Here is a 26,522-nt window from a genome sequence, read left to right on the forward strand (position 1 = left end):
GAGAATTGCTTGAACCCAGGAGGCAGAGATTTCAGTGAGCCAAGATCATGCTACTGCACTCCAGCCTGGGAAACAGAGTGAGACGCTGTCTTAAAAATAAACAAAAATAAATAAATAAATACCTAAAACTTACACGGGACACAGCAAAAGCAATACTAAAGGAGAAATTTATAACTATAATGTGTACATTAAAAAACAGGAAAGATCAGCCAGGCACGGTGGCTCATGCCTGTAATCCCAGCACCTTGGGAGGCCAAGGCAGGCAGATCACGAGGTCAGGAGATCGAGACCATCCTGGCTAACATGGTGAAACCCCGTCTCTACTAAAAATACAAAAAAAAAAAAAAAAAAATTAGCCGGGCGTGGTGGCAGGTGCCTGTAGTCCCAGCTACTCAGGAGGCTGAGGCAGGAGAATGACGTGAACCCAGGAGGCGGAGCTTGCAGTGAGCTGAGATTGCACCACTGTACTCCAGCCTGGGTGACAGAGTGAGACTCTGTCTCAAAAAATAAAAGAAAAAAAAAAAAACAGGAAAGATCACAGACAACAACCTAACTTTACAATTTAAGGAACTGAAAAAAGAAATGCAAACTAAACCCAAAGCTAGCAGAAGAAAGAAAATAATAATAAAGATCAGAGCTAAGATCAATGAGATAGAGAATAGAAAAATAATAGAAAAAAATCAACAAACCTAAAAGGTGGTTATGCAAAAAAGATCACCAAAATTGACAAACCTTTACCTAGATGGACTTTTTTAAAACAGGCCAGGCACAGTGGTTCACACCTATAATCCTAGCACTTTGGGAGGCCAAGATAGGATTGCTTAAGCACAAGAGTTCAAGACCCGTCTGGGCAATATGTCAAGATCCCATCTCTACAAAAAATTTTAAAATTAGCCAGGCATGGTGGCAGGTGCCTGTGGTCCCAACTACTTGGGAGGCTGAGGCAGAAGGATCACTTGAGCCCAGGAGGTCATGACTACGCCACCAAACTCCAGCCTGGGCAACAGGGTGAGACCCTGTCTCAAAAAGGAAAAAGAGAGAGAGGACTCAAATTACTAAAATCAGAAATCAAAGTTGGGCCAGGTATGGTGGCACATGCCTGTGGTACCAGGTACTCAGGAGGATCCTTTGAGCCCAGGAGTTTGAGACCAGCCTGGGCAGTACAGCAAGACCCCATTTCAAAAAAAAACAAAAAAGACTGCAGGGTGAAGTGGCTCAGCCTGTAATCCCAGCACTTTGGGAGGCCAAGGCAGGCAGATCACCTGAGGTCAGGAGTTCAAGACCAGCCTGGCCAACATGCCAAAACCCTGTCTCTACTAAAAATACAAAAATTAGCCGGGCATCATGTTATGTGCCTGTAATCCCAGCTACTCAGGAGGCTGAGCCAGGAGAATCACTTGAACATGGGAAGCAGAGGTTGCAGTGAAGCGACATCATGTCACTGCACTCCAGCCTGGATGACAGAGTAAGACTGTGTCTCAAAAAAAAAAAAAAAAAAAAAAAGAATAAAAGAAAAAAATAATGAAAGTGGAGATATTACCACTGATTCTACAGAAATGAAAAGGATTATAAGAGTGTACTAGGCCAGGCGCAGTGGCTCACACCTGTAATCCCAGAACTTTGGGAGGCCAAGGCAGGTGGATCACCTGAGGTCAGGAGTTGGAGACCAGCCTGGCCAAGATGGCAAAACCCCGTCTCTACTAAAAAATACAAAAATTAGCTGGCATGGTGGCACGCGCCTGTAGTCCCAGTTACTCAGAAGGCTGAGGCAGGAGAATTGCTTGAAGCCGGGAGGCGGAGGTTGCAGTGAGCAAGATCGCACCACTGCACTCCAGCCTGGGCAACAAGAGCGAAGCTCCATCTCAAAACAAACAAACAAAAAAAAAGAGTGTACTATGAGCAGGTGTACACCAACAAGCTTGATAACCTAGATATGGACAAATTCATAGAACCAAAATCTACCAAGACTGAATCACAAACAAATAGAAATTCTGAACAGACAGACCTGTAACTAGCAAGCCAACTGAACCAGTAATCAAAAATCTCCCAACAAAGCAAAGCCCTAGACCTGATGGCTTCACCAAACATTTAAAGAACTAACATCAATCCTTCTCAAACTTTTCCAAAACATTGAAGAGGAAGGAATATTCCCTACTTTATTCTCTGAGGCCAGCGTTACTCTGATACCAAAGCCAGACAAACACTACAAGAAAACTACAGACTGGCCAGGCGCGGTGGCTCACGCCTGTAATCCCAGCACTTCGGGAGGCCGAGGCAGGCAGATCACCTGAGGTCAGGACTTCAAGACCAGCCTGGGCAACATGGTGAAAACCCGTCTCTACTAAAAATACAAAAATCAACTGAGCGTGGTGGCGCATGCCTGTGATCCCAGCTACTCAGGAGGCTGAGGCATGAGAATCATTTGAACCCGGGAGGTGGAGGTTGCAGTGAGCCACGATCTTGCCATTGCATGATCTGGGCAACAGAGTGAGACTCAGTCTCAAAAAGAAAAAAAAAAGAAAACTACAGACCTGTTTCTCTTATGACCTTTTTTGTGAGACAGTGTCTCACTCTGTGGCCCAGGCTAGAGTGCAGTGCCACAATCACAGCTCACTGCAGTCTCAAAACCCTGGTCTCAAGCAATCCTCCCACATCGGCCTCCCAAAGTGCTGGGATTACAAGCATGAGCCACTGCACCCTGACTCTTTGCCACTTCATAAGAAGGTGGCCTTTCCTTCAGTTTCCAATAACATGTTCCTAATTTCCATCTGAGGCACCATTAGAAGGGCCTTTACCATCCAGATTTCTATCTACATTCTGATCAAGACCACTTAGATAATCTCTAAGAAAACGGAGGCTTTCTCTACAGCTCTCTTCTGAACCTTCGTCGGAATTACCCTTAAGGCTCCTTTCATGGCAATGCACCTCAAAACTCCTCTAGCCTTCTACCCATTACCCAGTTCCAAAGCTGCTTCCACATTTTAGGTATCTGTTATAGCAACACCCTACTTCTCAGAACCAATTTCTATCTTAGTCCACTCAGGCTGCTATAAAATAAAAATATTTTAGACTGGATAATTTATATATAACAGAAATTTATTGCTAACAATTCTAAAGGCTTGGAAGTCCAAGAACAAGATGCCAACAGATTCAACGTCAGGTGAGGGATCTCTGCTTCATAGATGGCACCTTCTTACTGGGTCCTCACATGCAGAAGAGGCAAGGAAGCTCCTCGGGCCTCTTTTATAAGGGCACTAATCCTATTCATGAGGGTGGAGCCCTCATGACCTAATCACCTCCCAGAGGAACCACCTCGAGGGTTAGGTTTCAACATATGAATTTGGAGGGGACACACATTCAGACCATGGCACTATCATTATTCCCTATTTAGAGCTGAGAAAATTAATGGGCAGGAAAGCAAAGTAAATAGTCCAAGGTCACATAGCTTCCAAGTGGAGAAGCTGAGATTCTTTTTTTTTTTTTTTTTTTTTTTGAGACAGAGTCTCACTCTGTCGCCCAGGCTGGAGTGCAGTGACGCAAGCTTCGCTCACTGCAAGCTCCGCTTTCTGGGTTCATGCCATTCTCCTGCCTCAGCCTCCCGAGTAGCTGGAACTACAGGCGCCCGCCACCACAGCCGGCTAATTTTTTGTATTTTTAGTAGAGATGGGGTTTCACCATGTTAGCCGGGATGGTCTCGATCTCCTGACCTTGTGATCCACCTGCCTTGGCCTCCCAAAGTGCTGGGATTATAGGCGTGAGCCACCACGCCTGGCCTTTATTTTATTTATTTATTTATTTATTTATTTGAGACTGGCTCTGTCACCCAGGCTGGAGTGCAGTGGCACCATCTCGGCTCACTGCAACCTCCGCCTCCTGCTTTCAAGCGATTCTGCTATCTCAGCCTCCTGAGTAGCTGGGATTACAGGCACACACCACCGTGCCTGGCTAATTTTTGTATTTTTAGTAGAGATGAGGTTTCATCATGTTGGTCAGGCTGGTTTCGAATTCCTGATCTCGTGATCCACCTGCCTTGGCCTCCCAAAATGCTGGGATTACAGGCATGAGCCACCGCGCCCAGCCGAGAAGCTGAGATTCTAACTAAAGTCAGCCCCAGTCCAAGGGCCAAGCTCCTAACCACTATGCAGCATGGCCTTCCAGATGAATAAGTGAAAGGAGTAGTGGGCAAGGCCACAGTATCACTAAAGAGTCTGGTCTAGGGTCTATACCCGCCCACCATGCACTTAACACTTGGTCTGGCAGCACGTAACTCTGACCCAGTTTTCTTTATACCACAGGCAACTCCTAAACCTCAGTTTTCCTGGACACACAGTGGGAGGAACAACTCCAGCCCATTTCTGGCCCTCCAGACATTGGTTGCTGCCAAGAGAGAACATGTGCACATCTACATCAACCAGAACTGAATGTTACACAAACCACAGGTGCTGGCTTTGCTAACTTGGCACATCACATCTCTGGGAGTTGCCAGTGTCAGTGGCTTAAGTGGTCTAAGGTGAAGGGGGTAGCCCTTACCCAGTAGTGACAGCCAAGAGAGGGATGGTGACACAGCAGGTTACAAAGGACTCTGTAGCTGTCAGCCGTTAACATGTGACAAGCCTGAAACCTCCAGGCCTTTTTCTGTGCAGATGGAAAGATGCCAAGTGCTGGCACCCTGGGCCACCATGTCTGCTGAGTGGCCAGGTGCCCCAACAACACACTGACTACTGGCACTGAGAGAGCACATGAATCAGGAGGAACAAGGCCACACTAAAGGAGATTAGTCTCAAGATTGCCATTTAGCTGACTGAAGGAAAACAACCTATTACAGTAATGTTCCTTTTCTGATCTTCATTTTCACTCCCTCAACAAAATCCATCCAGTGTCCAAAAGGGTGCTGCTCATTTGCAAATCCAAAACCACCAAAACCACCACCAACTCTCCAAAGGCTTCCCCTGTTCTCCAGGTAAATATGAAATGCCATGCCACAGCTGACAAGGCCTGCCCTCACCAACCCCTCCAACCTCAGCTGGCTCCTCTCACTCTCTGTGCTCCAACCATACTTTCAGTTCCTCATAAAACTCCCCACCCACTGCCTGCTTCCAGAGCCTTTGCAAATCCAGGCCCTCAGCCTGAAATTTTCCTCAACGTCCTGTCACTCTGCTTGGTAAATACTTGTTTGGTCTTCACAATATTTACTCGAACATCACTTCCTCAAAGAAGCCTTCTATGATACCCTCTTAGCCCTAGGACCAAGTCAAATCCCTCTCAGATGTTCTTAACTCTTTCTTTCAATACACTTATTCCAAGTGTAATTTTACTAACTTTGACATATTCATCAGTACACTCTAAGCTGGAACCCTATCTGACACTGTATCTCAGGGCCTAACAGTCTCTGGAATGTAACAGATGTTTTATATACATTTGTTGACTGAAAAAATAAAATTTCAGAGAGAAGGAAAACGAAGCTGTATCCAAATCAAAGAGTTCTACTTAGAGCTGTTCTCCTCCCTACATGACCTTAAGCCAAACAATTCTCTCCCCTTCCCCCTTTCTCTCCCAAATTTCTTACAGAAGTTACTTTCTGTCCTGACATTCTTTAAGCTGGTGGTAGCCATAGTGATAAGCTGGCCTACAGCCAGAAACAGTCTAAAAAGATATCACCTTGTCTGAGTGCTCCAGGCTTCCAAAATAAAAGTTCCCAGCACAGGCCCAGGCAGGCACAAACACAAAAGCCTTTCCCCAGTAAAGACACTGAACCAAACAACCAGGACCCCCTGAAAGAAATGAGTAATCCCCAGGGCAGACAGTGCCCCCCGAGTGACCCACCCAAAGAAAGAAGGGAGGGGAGGCAAGGCTACAGGGGCAGAAGCAGGCATTCTGTGCCCTGATGAGATTTTAAACCCTCTTTTACTCCTTGGATGAAGCAGAGATGTGCCCAAACACTAAATATCAAAGTCGCTCCTGATGAGGCAGCTTCAGAGGAGGTCCACAGATTGTGGCTCAGAAAAGCAATATCAGCAACTAAAGAAGTTCACATAAAGCTCTAATTAAGGCCATTTTCCCTCTACAGAAGCAGGAGGATCTTCTCCTTACCCTTCTCTTATGTAGGGTAGGCAGGTAGGGGGTGGCAGGAAGGGAGGCAGAAGTATTTTTTGAGCACCACTTAGTGCCAGGCATAGTGACAGGTACTTTATAGACAGGGCTATTAATAAAAAACAAATGGGAAATGAATAAGCACATACACAGATAGGTAGCTGATGCTCAGCGAGGTTAAGCAACTTGTCCAACTATTGAATGGTAAGGTCAAGGGTCACACCCACAGCCAGATGTGGTGGCTCATACCTATAATCCCAACACTTCAGAAGGCAGAGGAGGGAGGATCACTTGAAACCAGGAGTTCAAAACCAGCCTGAGCAACACAGCAAGATCCCATCTCTACAAAAAATTAAAAGATTAGCCAGGTGTGGTGGCACATGACTGTAGTCCCACTACTAGGGAGGCTGAGGTGGGAGGATCTCTTGACCTCAGGAAGTCGAGGCTGCAGTGAGCCAAGACTGTGCCACTGCATTCCAGCCAGGGCAACAGAGCAAGACCCTGTCTCTTTAAAAAAAAAAAAAAAAAAAAGTTGGCCAGGCACGGTGGCTCATGCTTGTAATCCCAGCACTTTGGGAGACCGAGGTGGGTGGATCACTTGAGGCCAGGCGTTCGAGACCCAGGAGTTCAAGACCAGCCTGACCAACATGGGGAAACCTCATCTCTACTAAAAACACAAAAAAATTAGCCAGGCATAGTGGTGTGCACCTGTAATCCCAGCTACTTGGGACGCTGAAGCAGGAGAATCACATGAAACCAGGAGGTGAAGATTGCAGTGAGCCGAGATCACGCCATTGCAATCCAGCCTGGGCAACAAGAGCAAAACTCCATCTCAAAAAAAAAAAAAAAAAAAAAAAAATCATACCCAGCTTTGCCTGAATCAGACTTTTTTCTCCTACCCCAATGCTGCCTTTGTGGGTCATCTATTAGCCCCACTCTGCTCCTCACCCCTTTACCACCACCTTCCTAACCAGAATTGGGAATGTAGCTCCTGGTAAGCTCTCTGGCAAAGAAAAGTCTGTCTTCCATGAGCACAACCCACCACAATTGATACATACAAAACTGAGATGCACCACCACTTCCTAGGTTTGGAGCACAGTTTGTTGTAGGGAGCAAAATTCATCATCTGCAACTATGGGCATGAGGCTGGATTTTCTGAAAACCCAAAATGAGACCACAGTGATGAAGTCTCTGCATTTCCCAGAACCCACAGCTCTGGGCACTAGTATGGTATTCCTGCAGTGTAGCATGCCTTAAACCAAAGGATGGTGTGCTCCATCACACCATCAGAAAGACAGTACCTGCAGGGTAGACAATCCCAGCTGAAGTCTCCATAGCTCCTCTAGCTAGGCAGAGAGGGTAGCAACTCCATACCTGAGTCACCTGCCTCTACACAGCATCTTCTGCAAGGTTAAGCAGCCATTCATTGTGCTGTAGTTCAAGGTTAACCCTTCCCCCTGCACTCATTTCAGGATCTGCCTCTTATCAAAACCTATGCCAGCTGATTATTATAATGATAACTATTATGCCATTATAATAACATTATTGTGCTTTTTTTCTGCACTTGACATCTGTTGGCTGATAGGTTTAAACAGTACATAAGCAATAATTATGCAGTGCTCTCTCCTTTCCAACCAAGCCTCTAGTGTGACTCTTAATGTTACATCCAACTGCAATAAATGCCCAGCCCGAGCAGCAGTGGGAAACATGGCTCATCTGGGTTCACCCACCATGCCTCTAGTCACAGTGCCAGAAACAGAGGCTCAACTAGGTCCCTAATTGTTAACATGCTCCCCTGCTCTCCCAGGGATTTGGGGGAAATACTACCCAGCAAGCAATTTATTGTTGAAAACCCCCGCAGGGCTGGAGGAGTTATATACAAGTCTCAGTACTGCAGAGGGACAAGCAGTACCAAATCACAACAGCACACACCATCACAAGAGAAGAAGCACAGGAAAATGCATTCCTCCACTGGGAGTTCTCAAACAAATGATTTCCAGAGAGTCATTCTGCCTGGTTCCCCACACACAGTTCTTGGCAATTGCTGGTAAAATTGGCAGAAGGGAGAGGAGGGGTAGGACTATCTCCAGGCTTCTATTTTGAAGTTGAGAAATCACTAAACTGGCTGCTCAGCCTTCTTTATAGGACCCGCCAGAGTCCAGGATAGAGTCTGGAGGCCAAAGCAGAGAAGTCCCACCTCCTGTCAGCCAAAGCCCTTGCATCTACCTTTCACACTGTTGATGACAATCAAGGTAGAAAAAAGATGTGAGATTCTTTAACTGCAGACTATCAATATGCCTGAATTACACATTAGCCCTATTAAAGTAAAGGCAACCCATAGCAAGGCTTCACTAAAAAATGATGTTAAAACAAACCTCGCCAGGGGACCAGGGCTGGCCTGTTTTGTTTTCTACACTGTAATACACAGTTTTTGTTTTTTTGGTTTTTTTTAAGGCAGAGAAGGGGGTGGAAGGTTATTTGAATTTAAACGAGCAGTAAACACTATAATCTGTGTGCAAGGAGAAAAGGAACATTCAGAAGTGCCAAGTGCAGCCTCTTGGGACATGTGTGGCCAGGGCAGTAGTAGCCCGGGGGGCTTTCTCCTTCAGCCTCAACACGCTGCTCTCATTGCTTGGGAGCAGGCAAGCCAGCAGGCAAGGTCCACGCAGCACAAAAAGGCACTGTTCCCTAGGTCTAAGGAGAAGATTGCCCTCTCAGAAGGAAATTAATATGACGCAACACGGAATGAGCAGGGCGAGTCATCCACAGAAGTCACCTATCTAAGGAGGGGGTTTGAAGAGGTGTTACTCAAGGCATGGACCACATCTGTCTCATTCATCACTGTATTTCCAGGGCTAAGCAGGTCCTGGCACACAATGGGTACTCAGCAAATAATGGTGGACTGAATGGTAACCAGAAAGAACCCTTAGGTTGGAAGCCACTGACAAGAGCTAGAATCTAACTGTTCCTATTGTAACCTGTGGTAACAAAAGAGCCGTGGACGGCAAAGAATATATAAAGGGAGCCAAGAGAATAAAAATGAGTCTATCTCCAGTACCTGGTGCCTTAATAGACTGACAAGTGTATTCTGGTCAGATTACAATATAGCCCTAGAAGGACAAAGTGGGAAGGAGAAAAGGGGAAGAGGGAAGAGTGAGAAACAAGTGAGACAAAACATTTATTGAGTGCTTACCATGTATATATCTGAAAAACCCAGGGGGTTTCACAGCTGAGGACACAGGAGCAGGGGGGTTGAGTAGCTCCTCTGAAGTCTCACAGCTGTTACATGGTTTAAATCTGGGTGTATCTGATGCTATGACCCAAAAGCTTGCCACCATAATTTGCCTTGGTTTCCTCCAGAGGGGAGCTGGCTTCCCAGCTAATCTCTCCTACAGAGGAGAGATGCTCTTACATGTCCACATAAATCAACTTAGTCGTCATGTTTATTGGAGTTAGTTAACTGGAACTGTGACTTGATGGTCTCTTATGAATTTCACATGCCTGAGGCAGGCCCCCAGGAACTGAAACCTGGATGAACTAACTAAGTTTACAGGCCTGCAAAGCTGCACACCAGTAAGGTCCTAAGTCATCAGCTTTCTAGGGCAAACCTCTCTGGCCCGGCACAGGTCAGGTCTGGGTAAGGAAAGAACCTAAGCATGACCTCTACATGCCCCCAAGTTCTCCTCAGAAATTACAAAGAAGCCTTCCCTACTCCATGCTATGTCAGCCATACACAGAATTCTATTTGAAGGCTTTAAATTCTGATTTAAGTAGGACTAACAGAAGTAAAAAGCCAAGGATTTCTGCATGGTCCTTAGAAGCAAATGAGCCTTCCCTCCATGTCCATGGTGCTCCTGCCTCCCCGGAGTTTCCAGAGACCTTCCACACCCATGATGTCAGGTGCAGCAGAGTAGAAAGGGCAAGGTGATTTTCCATATTCTATTCAGAAGAGACCAGAGGTGAGAATCAGCCAGTGCTCCTAATGGAGGTGAATACCCTGGACAAACTCAGAGGCAGCTTAGGTTGTACTAAAAAACATTTTCAAGGTTGTCTGTTTATTGCACCTCCTGTATGAGGGCTTTCATCAGTTAAAATGGGTTTTTTCAAAGCACAGGGAAGCGGATGATTCACCCAGGTGCACAACAGCTGCTGGGAAGACCTGTGGGAAGAGGCCACCCGGCAAAGGCAGGCTGTGTATGGTAAGAAGGGTCTCCAAGGAATGCCCTACATGCCAAGCCACATGCTGTCAGGATATTAATCCAAACCCATCTTGCACACTTTACAATGTTTACTCTCTCTGGGATGTGGAGCATTAAATTATATCCAAGGACTACACAAGTCCTTCCAATTCTATTCCACACTCACTTCTTTGCTAAAAAGATTTGTAACCTGGAAACAAAGCCCTCTGCCTAATAGCAGCAATAACTCTCCGCAAAGAATAGGAAGCCAGACTGTCAGTTCAAACTCTCCTAAAAGGTATTGCCCCATTGAAGCTTTAGTTTAGGTTTCTCCAAAAAGTGGAGAAACCTACTACTGATCCCCTTTTTCCAGAGAGGACAGGCCTGTGTAACTAAGCATCCTGAAAGGAGGGTTCAAACCAAAAGAGGAAAGAGGAATCACCACCACTCCATTCCTGCCCTAACTGCAATGGTCCTGGAAATGGTAAAGAATTCCAAAGAGGACTGCCTCATTGCTACAAGAACTAAGAACAAGGTACATTAATAGGAGACAAAGCTACCTGGATTAGTCACAGCCCTACTCTGGCTAGCAGTATGACCCTAAATGGGTCATTTAGACTCTCCGAGCCTCAATATTTTACCACCATAAAATGGGGGTGTTGTGTGGCCAGGCACAGTGGCTCATTCTTATAATCCCAGCACTTTGGGAGGTCAAGGTGGAAGGATCGCTTGAGGCCAGGAGTTCAAGACCAGCCTCGGAAACATAGCAAAACCCCATCTCTACAAAAAAATTTTAAAAAATTAGCCAGGCATGGTGGCACATGCCTATAGTCCCAGCTCAGGAGGCTGAGGTGGGAGGATATCTTGAGCCCAAGATTTTGAGGTTGCAGTGAGCTACGATCACACCACTGTTACTCCAGCCTGGGTGTGAGTGAGATGTTGTCTCTAAAAAAACTACAACTAAAAAATAAATAAATGGGGATGTCATAAGAATCAGACTGAAAACAGTAAAATTTGAAAACAGTAAAATATTGCACATACTTTACACCTGATTGTTATTCCAAAGACCCCTGCATGAGAAACCCTAGGACATTTCTAGGGAGCAGAGAGGCCAAGCTGTCACATCTGAGAGGCAGTCTACAGCGACTGGGTCCAGTTGTTTACAGAGAAATCCATATGTCAGGAATAAAGTGAGGACAGAGTAAAATTTGAAGAGAAGACCACACATGGGTCTGCTCAGCTACATTTAAAAAATAACAATACAGCAGGTCTCCAAATAACATTGCTTCGATCAACATTATTTCCTTATAACACCGACGAGAAAAAAATAATTGTTTCCCAGCCAGGGCCACTGCTTGTGTGGAGTCTGCTTATTCTCCCCATGTCTGTGTGGGTTTTCTCCAAGTCCTCAGTCACCTTCCACATCCCGAAGACGTGCCTGTTAGGTTCACTGTTGCGTGTAAGGGGTCCAGTCTGCATGAGTGTCAGGGTGTGTGAGTGTACCTTGAAATGGGATGGCATCCTGTCCAAGGCTGGTTCCTGCCTGGTGCCCTGAGCTGCCGGGATGGGCTCTGGCCACCCAAGACCCTGAACTAATAGGGTAGTAATTATCTCACTTGTTTTTGTTAATCCTTCTTAAAGGAATGTATAGCTCACATTTATCTCAGTTTTTAATATTAGAAGTGTTTTGGTCTTTATTTAGAAGTTTGGTCATGTTTCTGTAACAAGAAATATTCTGTAGGAACTTAACTCTTGTTTATACCAATGAGCCATAGTAAAATTGGTTTTGTATACATTTCACTTAAAGTCACAGTTTCCAAGAACTTATGACCGATGTCAAGTGAGGACTTACTGTATATGCATATGTTTCAAATTTGAAAAGGCACACAAAGACATATAGTGAAAAGTAAGTCTCCCTCCTTCCCAATTCTCTAGTTACCCAGGGCCTCTCACTAGAGACAAACTGCACTGCTTTCAGTTTCTCATGTAGTCTGCCCGAGATATCCCAGGCAGCTAATTTCTACTGGAGATGGGGATATCATTTGTGGCAACACTCTCAGACCTAGAAGGTGATGCCAGGCAAGTAAGCACTGCTGGGGCACTTAGGGACTATGAAAAAAATGAGACAGCCAGAGGATAAGATATCACCTTGCAAAAGGTTCCATGGAGATGCAGACTTCCTTCTGGCTATTATACTGTTTTGCCCCTTGGCTGACCACATTTAAGCAGTGATTCTGTACAATGTATTTCCCTTTTAGTTGTATTTGTTCACCCAGAGCTCTTTCTCAGAGATGTCATTAACAGAAGTGGCCTCTGGGACCTTATGCTGCACCAGCCTGACCACCAGGCCCTTCAAAGTAGCCAGAAGCAGGAACAACTATCAAACCTGCCTCAGTGGAAGCTGAGCAAAAGGGCAAAAAGTGCAAAAGTTCTTGAGTCACCACCTTTCTAGGGACAAAAGTTGCTTTTCATAGCCCAGTGAAATCAGAATATAAGGGAGGATAAAGCCCAGACCATAGATGTTCTACAGGGCCGAACCCAAGAGATTAAGTCACTACCCACAGAAAATCATAGGACACTTTTATCTAAAGATAGGCTTTCACCAAACGCCCTCAAAAGTTTTCAAGCTATGTCCTCCCCTCCCCCACCTTTATTATTTTACAAGGAATTTAAATGTGTGAAACTCCAGCCTCTACCTAAAGGATACAGATGGGTAGCCTATAGGTCAAATCTAGACCACAAATATGCTTTGGTAGTCCCTAGAGATTATGAATATCTGGCCTCCCATATGACATGAGGAGGCCATACTCACCCATGACGATAGGCTGAGTAGCAGCCACCCCTCATGAAGCACATAAGCACTCCGGTTTGACACAGGCCTACCATTCTCTGTTGCCTCTCTGTTCCCAACTTGGCCCTAAAAACATCTGAGTTGGAGACTCCTAGCCAGTGAGTAACACAGGAGGCTAAACTGGCAAGTACATCAGCTGACCAAATAGCAGGACTCTTGAATTCATAAACATTTATTGAACACTCTCTATGTGCCAGGACTGTGCTGGGGATTGGATGCATGAAGAGGAATGACAGATGCAGTGTCTGCCCTCTAGGAAGTTCTAATCCAATTGAGTGTATAAGGCTTACTCTAAGGAATCCAATGCTTCAAAAACAAAGGGCTCTGGGAATGGAGCATGTGAACTCACTGTGGCTGGGAATCAAGAAATGCTTCAGGGAAGTAGGATTTCAACAGGATTGTTATCATTTCTTAAGTTTTCATGTAAACATCCATTCAACAACCATTTATGGTATCCATATTACACTCAGCATTATGCTAAGAGACACATTAAATCACAACCCATATCCTTGAGAAGCTCATATAAAAAGAGACAAACATCATACCATAATAAAAGTGTGCTGAATTCTATAATAAAGGTGTTGCAATGGGGATACAGATGAGGACACATCAGGTAAGGCTCACTGAAGGCGGCAGCTCTGCAGCATAAAGTAGGGAACCGGCTGGGTGCAGTGGCTCACGTCTGTAATCCCAGCACTTTGGGATGCCGAGGCGGGTGGATCACAAGGTCAGGAGCTCGAGGCCAGCCTGGCCAACACGGTGAAACCCCGTCTCTACTAAAATTACAAAAATTAGCCGGGTGTGGTGGCACATGCCTGTGGTCCCAGCTACTTGGGAGGCTGAGGCAGGAGTATCACTGGAACCCGGGAGGCAGAGGTTGCAATGAGCCGAGATTGTGCCACTCCACTCCAGCCTGGGGCAACAGAGCAAGACTCCATCTTAAAAAAAAAAAAAAAAGTAGGAAACTAAGGAGAGAGTACTCTGGGCAAAAGAACTGGCAGAGACACCAACATGAAGCATACTCAGAGGACCACGTGGATCAGTTCATCAGGAGCAAGGGGTACACGTGGGTGATGGTACGGACATATTAATTAAAATGGTAGGATGGGTATACACTGCAATAGGCTTGGAACACCAACAACCTGATACATTTGGAATTTATTCAGGAGCTAGTGGGTGCCATTGAAGGCTTCTGATATGGTTTGAATTTGTGTCCCCACCCAAATCTCATATCAAATTGTAATCCCTAATATTGGAGGAGGGGCCTAGTGGGAGGTGACTAAGTCATAGGGGCGGATTTCCCCCTTGCTGTTTTCACAAAAGTGAGTTCTCACAGGATCTGGCCATTTAAAAATGTGCAGCATGTCCCCCTTGCTCTCTTTCTCCTGCTCCAGACATGTAAGACGTGCCAGCTTCCCCTTCGCCTTCCGCCATGATGGTAAGTTTCCTGAGGCCTTCCCAGAAGCAGAAGTCTGTACAGCCTGCAGAACCATGAGCTAATTAAACCTCTTTTCTTTATAAATTACCCATTCTCAGGTATTTGTTTATAACTGTATGAGAACAGACTAATACAGCTTCCAAGCATAAGTATTCTCTGATAAGCACAATATATAGGAAGACCCAAAGTGGCAGTGGTATATAGTGTCCTGGAGGAAGCAAAAGCAAGAAATAAGAGGGCGCTTCTGTAATAATTCTGGAGCACAGTCACAGGAAACAGGGGAAGCAACAAAACTAGGTAAAAAAGATACTGCAGAGGCTCGCTAAAAAGAAAAAGACAATGGCATTTTCTTGAATGTACTAATTCCTATTGTTTACCAATTCAGATTGGCCTTCCCTCCAAATAGTGAGTTTTTTTTACCTTATTTGTTTCATACAGAGAAGTGAGGCATGGTCTATAGTCATAGTGCTTGGATTTTTTTAAAAACTCAACTTGAGATCAAAATAATGGGATTGGCTCCAGGGGCTTTTTCCTCACTCCCTTGCTACATGGAACCAGTTGTACATCTCAAAGAGAGAGACAGTCAACTTGAGCACAAAATCTGGGTCAGTGTATGTGACTGTGCCTCCGTGACTTTGCACAAGGACCAGAAATGAGCATACAAATCAGAGGAAAGCAGTGACAAAAGTCAACATTCCCTTGATGAGCTAATTGCTTCATGTCTGGCTGAAGAGCAGAAAGCAAGAGATAAGGAGAACATACTATCTGAGGGACCAGGCAGGCTCTGGACTAGCCAGCCCTACCCCAATAAAATCCCCTCATCAGACACTGCCCCCGAAACAAGGCCTGCTGGCTTGAGCACCTGACAAGAGAGAACCTGAGAAAGATAAGCACTAAGCTGAGTAAGGAAGGAGATGGCAGAGAAGCAGCAAAGTTCCTTGCTACTCACAACTTTTAGTTATTCAGCATGAAATACCTATAACTATTGGTATAAATAATATGTAATACAAACCAACTAAGACAACAATGAGGTGATGGTTAAGATAAAACTTGCTTGGTCAGCATAACCTATCCTGAAACTACGACGTGGCTCAGAAACTGGAAACTATTGTTGTCAATAATGATGACAACACAGAGCATTTACATCAGGGGTCCCAAACCCCCGATACTGGTCTGTAGCCTATCAGAAACCCATCCAAGGAGGTGAGCAGCAAGTGAGTGAGCAAAGCTTCATCTGTATTTACAGCTGCTCCCCAACGCTTGCATTAACGCCTGAGCACCGCCTCCTGTCAGATCAGTGGCAGCATTAGATTCTCATAGGAGCACAAACTCTATTGTGAACTGTGCATGCAAGGGATCTAGGTTGAACACTCCTTATGAGAATCTAATGCCTGATGATCTGTCACTGTCTCCCATCACCCCCAGATGGGACCGTCTAGTTGCAGGAAAACAAGCTCAGGGCTCCCACTAAGTCTACATTATGGTGAGTTGTATATTTCATTACATACTATAATGTAATAATAATAGAAATAGGTTGGGCATGATGCCCATAATCCCAGCATTTTGGGAGGTCCAGGCGGGTGGATCACCTGAGGTCAGGAGTTCAAGACCAGCCTGGTCAACATGGTGAAACCTCATCTCTACTAAAAATACAAAAATTAGCGGGTGTGGTGGTACACATCTGTAATCTCAGCTACTCAGGAAGCTGAGGCAGGAGAATTGCTTGAACCTGGGAAGCAGAGGTTGCAGTGAGCCAAGACTGTGCCACTGAACTCCAGCCTGGGTGATGGAGTGAGACTCTGTCTCAAAAATAATAATAACAGAAATAAAGTACACAATAAATATAATGTGCTTGAATCATCCCCAAACCATCCCCCACATCCCCCAGTCCATGGAAAAATAGTCTTCCATGAAACTAGTCCCTAGTGCCAAAAAGGTTGGGGACTGCTGTTTTACATTGTGCCAGAGGAAGCACCATATCTATTCTCTGAATTCTTAAGATAGCTATAAAAATACATATTACTATTCCCATTCAACAGATCATAAAACTAAGGCTTAGAGAAAATAAGTAACTTACAATCTGACAACTAGTAAGTAGATATCAGAACGTAAATACAAGTGAGTCTGACTCCAAAGTGTGTTTAAACCACTCTGAAATACACTCATTCCTTCTCTCTTTCTCTTAGAGATGTCTTGAAGGTTTGCTTGGATCACCAGATAAGGTCCACTGTTACATCTGGCCTCATTCTTTACAGAAACACACAAGTCTGGCCTGAGCACTATTTGTTTCTAACACGGAGGAAGGCTTCAAATTCATTTCCTCTGAGGTAAGAGCAAGAGAAACACATTTCGACATGAGTAGGAGGAAAAACAGCACGACAGCAAAAATCTTCAACCATGAGGGTATAAGATCATGTACAAGGCAGTAAGTGGAGACAGGGCCTCCTCCTTCCCAGGAGACTTTTAACTGCAAAAGCATCCTGCATCTTTACAATGCTTTAAACAATTCTAACAACTTCTATGGCCACCCTTTGTAAGACCCCTAGCCTGTGTCCCAGCTCTAACACTAGAGTCCCACTATTATGTGGGTGGCCTAAAAAAGATCCTACCATTACGTGGCCCACTTCACTTCTCTGGGGCTCAGTTTTTGTCGTCAGAAAAATAAAAACCTATCAAATGCAAAATGGAGGCATTGGGCAGTAACAGAACTAGAAGTGTATCTCCTGACTCTTCACTCATCCACAGTACCACAAACAGCCAGCCCTGATGTTTGCAAGGAAATAAAGATCTCTATAATATCTTCCAGCCCAAAACACAATCATTTTAGACTTTAGCAGCTGGGTCCAAGGATGGAGACTTAACTTCAAGAATACAGTCAAACCCAACTCCCCATGAGTATGAGATGGGGTGTGGGGAAAAACAAGAAGCAACCTTAGGCCAGAGACAGTGGCTCACACCTGTAATCCCAGCACTTTGGGAGACCGGGGTGAGCAGATTACCTGATGTCAGGAGTTCAAGACCAGCCTGGCCAACATGGTAAAACCCCATCTCTACTGCAAATACAAAAATTAGCCGGCCATGGTGGCAAGCACCTGTAATCCCAGCTGCTTAGGAGGCTGAGGCACAAGAATCACTTGAACCTGGGAGGCAGAGGTTGCAGTGAGCCAAGATCACACTCACACCTGGGTGACAGTGAGACTCTGTCTCAAAAAAAAAAAAAAAAAAAAAAAAGCATCCTTAAATACTTACTTACAACTTACTTATGAGCTGGCCCCTTAAGCTTCCAATACACACTATCCACAGCACTCAAAGCATGGCCAATCAATGTTGTCTGTATCGATTGTCCTACTTTATGTTATTCCACTGGGCTGAAGCCTGCTAGTTTTCTAGTTTGGTCAGATGGCTGCTTTCCCCTTGGGAGCCTCACAAAAATGAGACTATCCCCAGAGGTAAAGAAATGTCCATTTAAAAGCCCACTGGTATAGCTGGGCATGGTGGCTCACACTTGTAATCCCAGTGCTCTAGAAGGCCAAGGTAGGGCATCACTTGAGGCCAGGAATTTAAGATCAGCCTGGGCAATGTTGCAAGCAAGACCCTGTCTCTTTAAAAAAAAAAAAAAAAATTAAATTAGCCAGGCATGGTGGTGCACACCCATGGTCCTAGCTACTTGGGAGGCTGAGGTGGGAGGATCACTTGAGCCCAGGAGTTGGAGGTTGCAATGAGCTATGATCACACCACTATACTCCAGCGTGGGCAACAGAGTGAGACCCTCTTAAAAAGGGCCAGGCACAGTGGCTCACGCCTGTAATCCCAGCACTTTGGAAGGCCGAGGCCGGCAGATCTCGAGGCCAGGAGTTTGAGACCAGCCTGGCCAATATGGTGAAATCCCATCTCTACTAAAAATACAAAAATTAGCCAGGCGTGGTGGCAGGCGCCTGTAGTCCCAGCTACTCGGAAGGCTGAGGCAGAAGAATCACTTGAACCTGGGAGGCAGAGGTTGCAGTGAGCCGAGATTGTGCCACTGCACTCCAGCCTGGGCAACAGAGCAAGATGCTGTCTCAAAAAAAAAAAAAAAAAAAAAAATCCACTGGCGAGTGAGGCATGGTGGTACATGCATGTAATCCCAGCTACTCAGGAGGTTGAGGTGGAAGGATTGCTTGATCCCAGGAGTTCAAGACTAGCCTGGGCAACATAGCAAGACCCCATCTCAAAAAAAAAAAAAAAAGTCCATTGGCATTAGCTTTCCTCACCAGAACTTTAGGATGTATCTCAGATTATTCTTCCAGTTTCTAGATCTCTTTCCCATCACAAGACTGAAGAAGCAAACTACTTGCAGAGATGGAAGTAGCCAGATGTGGAGATGAGTTCACTGACCACTTTGATGTTTTTCTGCCAGTGATGATAAGTGGTAACCAAAAGGGATGATCAAGAACTTCCTCAGTCACAACATAGCCTATGAGCAGACCTCAGAAACATACCCTTCCCCATTTCTCTGTAGATGTGAAATGTGAAATGTGACAAGGGCCAAACATCAGACTCTTCCCAAAGGTTCCGATGTCCAGTCTGGGGACACCTGGGCCAACACAGCAGCCCCAGCTGTGAAGATGGAAGGTCCAAGAGGCACCAGAGAAGCAGATGATAAATGGACCACCTCAAAATCCAAAGACTGGAAGAAAATTAAAACAATAAAGAATAAACTTGGCTGGGTGTGGTGGTTCACACTTAATAATCCCAGTACTTTGGGAGACCGAGGCAGGAGAAATGCTTGAGCCCAGAAGTTCAAGACCAGCCTGAGCAACACAGTGAGACTGTCTCTACCAAAAAAAAAAAAAATTAGCCAGATGTGGTGGCACATGCCTGTAGTACCAGCTACTCAGGAGGCTGAGGCAGGAGAATCACTTGAACCCAGGAGGCAGAGGTTGCAGTGAGCCAAGATCACGCCATTGCACTCCAGCCTGGGCAACAAGAGCGAAACTCAGTCTCAAAAAAAAAAAAAAAAAAAAAAAAAAAACAGGAAAGGAAACGAAAAAGCTTGTGGTACTAGCTGTTTCTTCTGGATAAAAAACTGGCCTTGATGACTACATTAAAGAAAGAATATCAGATAAGACCATGCATTCTCAGTGAGTGCAGTAACAGCCCAGAAGGGGTGAAAATTGATTCTTGGGGGAAAAAAAGTTAGATATTACAATGGTTTGTGGCCATCCAAAGGGCCACAATACAAAAACAGATACACAGTACATCTGTGGTATTAAAATTCCATTGGGGGTAGCTGGGCACGATGGCTCATGCCTGTAATCCCAGCACTTTGGGAGACTGAGGTGGGCAGATCACTTAAGGCCAGGAGTTCAAGACCAGCCTGGCCAACATGGCAAAACACAAAAACTACTACTAAATAACACAAAAATTAGTTGGGCATGGTGGTGGGCGCCTATAATCCCAGTTACTCAGGAGGCTGAAGCACAAGAATCACTTGAACCCAGGAGGCAGAGGCCACAGTGAGCAGAGATCACACCACTGCACTCCAGCCTGGGCGACAGAGTGAGACTCCCTCTCAAAAAAACATTCCACTGGGGAGTAGACAATTAAGGGAAAAAAAGTCTCAAAATATGATAATGAACAAAAGGTTGAAAAATAATTAGATGAACCCAAAGGGTTGAGTCTTAGATGAACCCTAAGGGCACAGTGTTCATTAACTTGTATAATGGTCATGGGTAGGGTAACTAACTTGTCCTGGTTTGCCCCGGACTTTCCTGCTTTTGGCACTAAAAGTCCCACATACGGATATCCCTCTGTCCTGGGAAAACTGGCATGGTGGTCCACTCTTCTCAAGAGAGAGATCAATGAAGGCATTCCCATTTCACAAATGAGGTGACACCAAGAAACACAGTGGTTGTCACGGATTCACAGCACTTTAGCAGCATTCCTGAGGCAAGGCTGGCTCTTTCCATTTGTCTAGTCCTATGCTCACAACTCTCTGCCCCTGATTTCCACTTTGGCAGAGAATGTTACTCATGAATTGATTATGCCACTTCCTTCTCAATACCAAAGCCAAGGGCAGTATTAGGAGGATGAAGGCAAACATGGCCAGCCAGCATAATCACAGCCATGTCTTACAGCTGCCTGGTGGAACCTGAAGGAACTACAAGTCTGGGCTGAATATAGTTTTGTTGCTACTGGATTCTGGGTACAAATTTGCAAAAGTAAGAATGCCAGGTGTAAACTCCTCACAAGCTAGGAAAATTCCTAGCTTGAGGTTCTCCACATGTGTCTGAGCAGCCCGAATCTTTTACAAGGTTTTTGTCCCAAAGATGAACTCAGTTATTGCTTATGCTAGGAATCAGGGGTTACCCAAGGCCTCACTCTGAATGGCAACAGGCTATTCTCCTACTCCCCTACTCAGCAGTGAAATCCTTGGTGAAAGTAAAGGAAGAAAAGAAAAGGGCATGCTATTCCGTCTTTAGTCTACGTATAATTAAAATACAAGACTCTCTGCTGTAGAAGACTAAGGTTTGCAGTTTAAGGCCGACTCAGAAAAGGATAAAGTATTCATCCTTGCTCAGAAAGAGAGAAGATTAGCTCCACAGGATGGGTCTCCAAATTGACACCAAATCCAGGAGTTAGAGATGGCTGTGCTACAGAGCGTGATCCAAGCACCATCTGGAGCCCCCAGAAAAAAATCCCTAGGAATAGCGACTAAGGGACTAGCATTGTAAGAGAGTTCAGATTAGCTCTCCTGAAAAGAGGCTTACTACAAGAGACTGGCAGACAGCCTCTGCAGCAAAACTTCACTTAGGAAAGGACAGAAAATGAATGAAGAAAGACAGGGGGAGGCTGAGCAGGTCAGAGTATGAATCCACAAGTATGTGAAAAAGAGAATCCACCTATTTCGAAAAAGGTACAACTTCCTTTCAGAGCCTTTTTTTTTTTTTTTGAGACAGAATCTCTCGCTCTATCACCCAGGCTGGAGTGCAATGGCACAATGATCTCGGCTCATTGCAACCTCCGCCTCCCGAGTTCAAGTGATTCTCCTGCCTCAGCCTCCCGAGTAGCTGGGATTACAGGCATGCGCCACCACGCCCGGCTAATTTTGCATTTTTAGTAGAGACGGGGTTTCTCCATGTTGGTCAGGCTGGTCTTGAACTCCCGACCTCAGGTGATCCACCCACCTCAGCCTCCCAAAGTGCTGGGATTACAGGTGTGAGCCACCGCACCCGGCCAGAGACTCTCATGTTCTTTTGAATATTCTCATTAACGGCAAATCTTCATTCTTTGAGGGTGAAAACATTTATTGCATTCCTATGTCCCAAGAGCTTTCATGTGTAATACGTCATTTAACCACCCTTCAAAGTAAATATTATTCCCAGTTTTTTTTGTTTTGTTTTGTTTTGTTTTGAGACGGAGTCTCGCTCTGTCGCCCAGGCTGGAGTGAATGGCGTGATCTCCGCTCACTGCAAGCTCCGCTTCCCAGGTTCACGCCATTCTCCTGCCTCAGCCTCCTGAGTAGCTGGGACTACAGGCACCCACCACCTCGCCCGGGTAATTTTTTGTATTTTTAGTAGAGACGGGGTTTCACCGTGTTAGCCAGGATGGTCTCGATCTCCTGACCTCGTGATCCGCCCACCTTGGCCTCCCAAAGTGCTGGGATTACAGGCGTGAGCCACCATGCCCGGCCCTATTCCCACTGTTATGTAGTGGTACATTGAGCCCCAGAGGTGAAGTAACTTATCCAAGGTTATGTGGCTAATAAGTGGTAGACTCAGAATTAAAACTCATGTTCACCACCCTCCAAAAATCTGTTATTTCCACTTCAAAAGAACTGTTAACTCATCTGAAGACAAGGCAGGTGACAAGGTTGCTTACCCATGCCATTCGGGGTTAAATATATATAGGCTGTGTGCAGTGGCTCACGCCTGTAATCTCAACATTTTAGGAGGCCAAGACAGAAGAATCGCTTGAGGCCAGGAATTCAAAAACAGCCTGGGCAACACAGCGAGACCCTGTCTCTACAAAAATTAAAATTACAAAATTAGCTGGGCCTGGTGGTGCGCCCCTGTAGTCCCAACTACTCAGGAGGCTTTAGTGAGAGTATTACTTAAGCCCAGGAGTTCAAGGTTGCAGTGAGCTATGATTATGCCACTGCACTCCGGCCTGAACCACAGTGTGAGACCCCATCTGAAAAATAATAATAATAATAATACAGTATGGTTTAATATATTAAAGAAACTGATCTCTCGCATGGTTCAAAAAGGTCTCTGAAAACAATTCCAGAGGTGGATTTTCAAAACTGCCTTGGACAACAGCCAAATCACTTAGGCACGCCATCCTCAACTCCCACCACCTACACCTGCACACATCACTCTAAAGGAGAACATTCATTGGTGGATCAAGTTCCCACATGTCAGTTATTTTAAAATCCATTTTGTTACCTTTCAGTTTCACTTAATTAGCCTCTTCTCCTGCCAATGAAACACACCAGGGCTCACAGTTGGCCTCAGTAGAGAAGTAATAGCTGGCCTTCAGAAAACAGCAGGGAAGGGGAAGTAAGTGGGAATCAAAGTACTAGGCAACTTTTCATTCCTGGACTGCCGCATCCCTACTAACATTTCCATCACCTGTAAAATGGGAGCAGAACGTCTCTTCTATTGCCAATTTCATTAAAACAGCACATGTATTCATGAGCAGATTAAATTCACTAAACAAATGAAAGAAAGGGGAAATAAATGTGGTGTGGTAACACCATCTTAAAAACCCGAGAGCCATGTTCTCAAAACCACAGACCAAGTTCTGACCCATGTTATACAAATATCAATCCCAATATCGTTACACTCTGGCTCCCATCAAAATCCTACCCAATCCCCAAATCTGGCTATACTTTTATCAGAAAAGAAAAAAACTTGGGTGGGGTGAGAGCAGAAAAGACACACACACACAACAAAATATCTTTCACAATGTCAAAAAAAAACCTGTTTATATGCCAGGCGAGGTGGCTCATGCCTGTAATCCCAGCACTTTGGGAGGCCGAGGTAGACAGATCACCTGAGGTCAGGAGTTCGAGACCAGCCTGATCAACATGGAGAAACCCTGTCTCTATTAAAAATAGAAAATTAGCCGGGCACGATGGCGCATGCCTGTAATCCCTGCTAATCGGGAAGGTGAGGCAGGAGAATCGCTTGAACCTGGGAGGCGGAGGTTGCTGTGAGTCGAGATGGCACCATTGCACTCCAGCCTGAGAAACAAGAGCGAAACTCCGCCTCAAAAAAAAAAAAAAAAAAAAAAAACTGTTTATAAACACATCACTTTCTTCTCTTAGCAAATATGTAAGTTTCATTCTCCTCCTGTCTACTTAGTTTGGGTTAACTTAACCCCCGCCCCATCTCTCAGATCATGTTTTTATTTAGGTTTATTGAGGTGGGAAAGCCAACTGAACTTTAAACGAAGCCAGGCATTTAAGAATATTAGAAAACTGATCTTACATATATAGGTAGTCAAATATTTTTAAAAGACATCAAATGGCATTCTAATTCCTCCGGTGCAAAGAAAGCCCCAGCCTCACACGTGTTAGCATTTCCTGATTCCTGGCTTTTCCCACTCAGAGCCCCATTCCAGGGGCTCATATGTCAAGTCATTCTCTCCTGACTTCTGAAGCAGGGATTTTCAAAGCCAGGATTCCGGGACCACCTGAATGAGAACCCCCTGGGGTACAGCTGCCCACGCACCATCTTATCGGAAATCCCAGGGAATGGAGCCCAAGGCTTATGCACAAAGCCCCTAGACGATCCGAGAGATAACACTAACCAGTCTGTAACCTCTAAAGGCAAATTTTCCAGGACAAAGAAAAACAAGCAATAAGAGAGTGACAATAATTCCACATGGGAAGAGACACACGGGTCTCGGAGATCAACACCAAACCACCCCTTCTTCGGACAGATACGGAAACTTAGGCTGGGAGAATGAAACAGGCAAGGGCACTAAAAACAGGTGCGGAGCCAAAGCCAATCTCAAATTTCCACGGCCCCATCTCCTGCCAATAAAGAGGTGAATGGAGACATTCTGAGTGGGAAAGATAAGAAAGGTAGGCCTTCGGCAGGGAGCCCCGGGCCCACTTGGACGTCCCGCTTTGGAGACACTAGTGAGGATGTGTGGGTCCCCAGAACACTGCTGGGAAGGCGCCGAGGCCGCCGGCAGGAGGAGGCCCAGGAAGCGCCCTGAGCCCCCCGCCCAGCTCCAGGGCCGGGCGGCCCTCACCGCCCCTACCTTCGGCCTCCGGCAGCCGAGTGGCAGACACAACTCCCACAATTCCAGGCGGCCGCGGCGGCGACCAGCTCCCCCTGCGCAAACGCGGCGGCGACCGTCTGAGCCGGTGAGCTGGCAGCTGTCACGCCGCTCGCGGCCTCGCCCAATCGCGGGCCGCCAGACCAGCGCGCGGCGCCCCCCGCCCCGCACCGAGGTGGGAGCCCCGCCCCTAGCCCCGCCCTCTGCAGACTCTTGCACGAGCTGCCCCCGTGCCCCTCCCCTTGGGGGGAGGGAGGGCTGAAGAGATAGCTTCACGCCTGCTTTTGCTTCCAGGCTGGAACTGCGAAGTTTCCTGTCTGATTTTCCAACAATGTAATTTCTTTCTAGCGGAAGGACCCTCAGAAAGCAATCAGAGGGGTGCGGAGTAAAAATAAATCAAGTTCTTGTGACTCAGTTTGGGACAGAAGCCGAGAGTCTCCAGCAATAAAATTTCTCGCAAATTCATGCAAAATAGGACACCTTTAAGCCACTCACTTTATATACTTGTGTAGATTTTTTACAAGGACCAGTTATTTTAAAAATAGCATCAGGTGGCCGGGCGCGGTGGCTCACACCTGTAATCCCAGCACTTTGGGAGGCCCAGGCAGGCAGATCACTTGAGGCCAGGAGTTCAAGACCAGCCTGACCAACATGGTGAAACCCCCGTCTCTACTAAATATACAAAAATTAGCCAGGCGTGGTGGCGAGCGCCTGTAATCCCAGCTACTTGGGAGGCTGAGGCAGGAGAATCGCTTGAACCCACCAGGCAGAGGTTGCAGTGAGCTAAAATCGTGCCACTACACTCCAGCCTGGGTGACAGAGTGAAACTCTGTCTCAAAATCTAATAAAATAAAATAAAGGTCACTTGCGATTCTGATTTTTTTTTAAGACAGAATCTGTGTCCCCCAGGCTGGAGTGCAGTGGCAGGATCTTGGCTTATCACAGCCTTGACCTCCCAGGCTCAAGGGATCCTCCCCCTCAGCCTCCATCCAGTAGCTGGGACCACAGGCGCGTGCCACCGTTGCCAGGCTAATTTTTTTTTTTTTTTTTTTTTTACAGACAGGGTCTCGCTATGTTGCCCAGGCTGGTGTCAACGCAGTTGTAATTCTGCTGTACCAGTGAATATCATGCTTTCTGTACCAGGTGCTGCATATATATTTTATTTACTTATAACGTCCTCTGAGCAGAATGGTCATCCCCTTTTTATAAATGGAGAAGCTGACGCTCAAAGAGGCTAAAGGAGTTATACAAAGTCATACAGTCAGGAAGTGGTAGAACTGGGAGTTAAAGCTAGATTTAAGTGTCTCCAATGTCCTGTTCTCTTTCCACTATTCCACTTTTAGACCTTCCCCTTGCCTAGACATGCTTAACCTGATGAATAAAAATGACTGCCCCCTCCTGCCCTCAGATCCCCCACATAGTGATTCCTGGTCATTCATGAGTGGAGAAAACAGTAATCCAGACAGTTACCTCCCCAAATGGCAAGTATTTCCCAATAGCAAACAACCTATTTCTGGACTTCCCTTCCCTTTTCCATGTACTCTATGAGCTTCTAGCAGACAATTTACCTTCTTGATTATGTTTACTTCAAGCAGATGGGAAACTGACTTCATAGCCACTGAGCAAACCTTGGTTACTAGTATGGGAAGGGAGAACAAGCCCCTGGGCAGTAGTTCAGTGAATAGTGCCAGTT

General features: G+C 45.8%; 1 protein-coding gene across 5 annotated transcripts in view, besides 1 other annotated feature; it reads right to left on the reverse strand.

The window, feature by feature from the left end:
* Nucleotides 1-24,911, reverse strand: part of SIL1 (SIL1 nucleotide exchange factor) — a 251,645-nt gene extending 226,734 nt beyond the window's left edge. For 4 of the 5 annotated variants that reach the window (NM_001037633.2, XM_011543570.3, XM_047417498.1 and 1 more), the window contains exons 1-2: nucleotides 24,812-24,911; nucleotides 22,984-23,071 (exon numbers count right to left, since the gene is read on the reverse strand). The gene's annotated coding sequence lies outside the window, so the exon portion shown is untranslated. The remainder of the gene's footprint in view (nucleotides 1-22,983; nucleotides 23,072-24,811) is intronic. The other variant, NM_022464.5, reaches the window with a different exon arrangement.
* Nucleotides 24,587-25,116: a silencer, noted in NCBI's record as "silent region_16405". NCBI's record gives its function as "represses an Ori minimal core promoter by ATAC-STARR-seq in GM12878 lymphoblastoid cells {active_cell/tissue: GM12878}" and the evidence as "EXISTENCE:reporter gene assay evidence [ECO:0000049][PMID:35858748]".

Source organism: Homo sapiens, chromosome 5 (assembly GCF_000001405.40).
Source record: "Homo sapiens chromosome 5, GRCh38.p14 Primary Assembly".
Classification (NCBI taxonomy): Eukaryota; Metazoa; Chordata; class Mammalia; order Primates; family Hominidae; genus Homo; species Homo sapiens.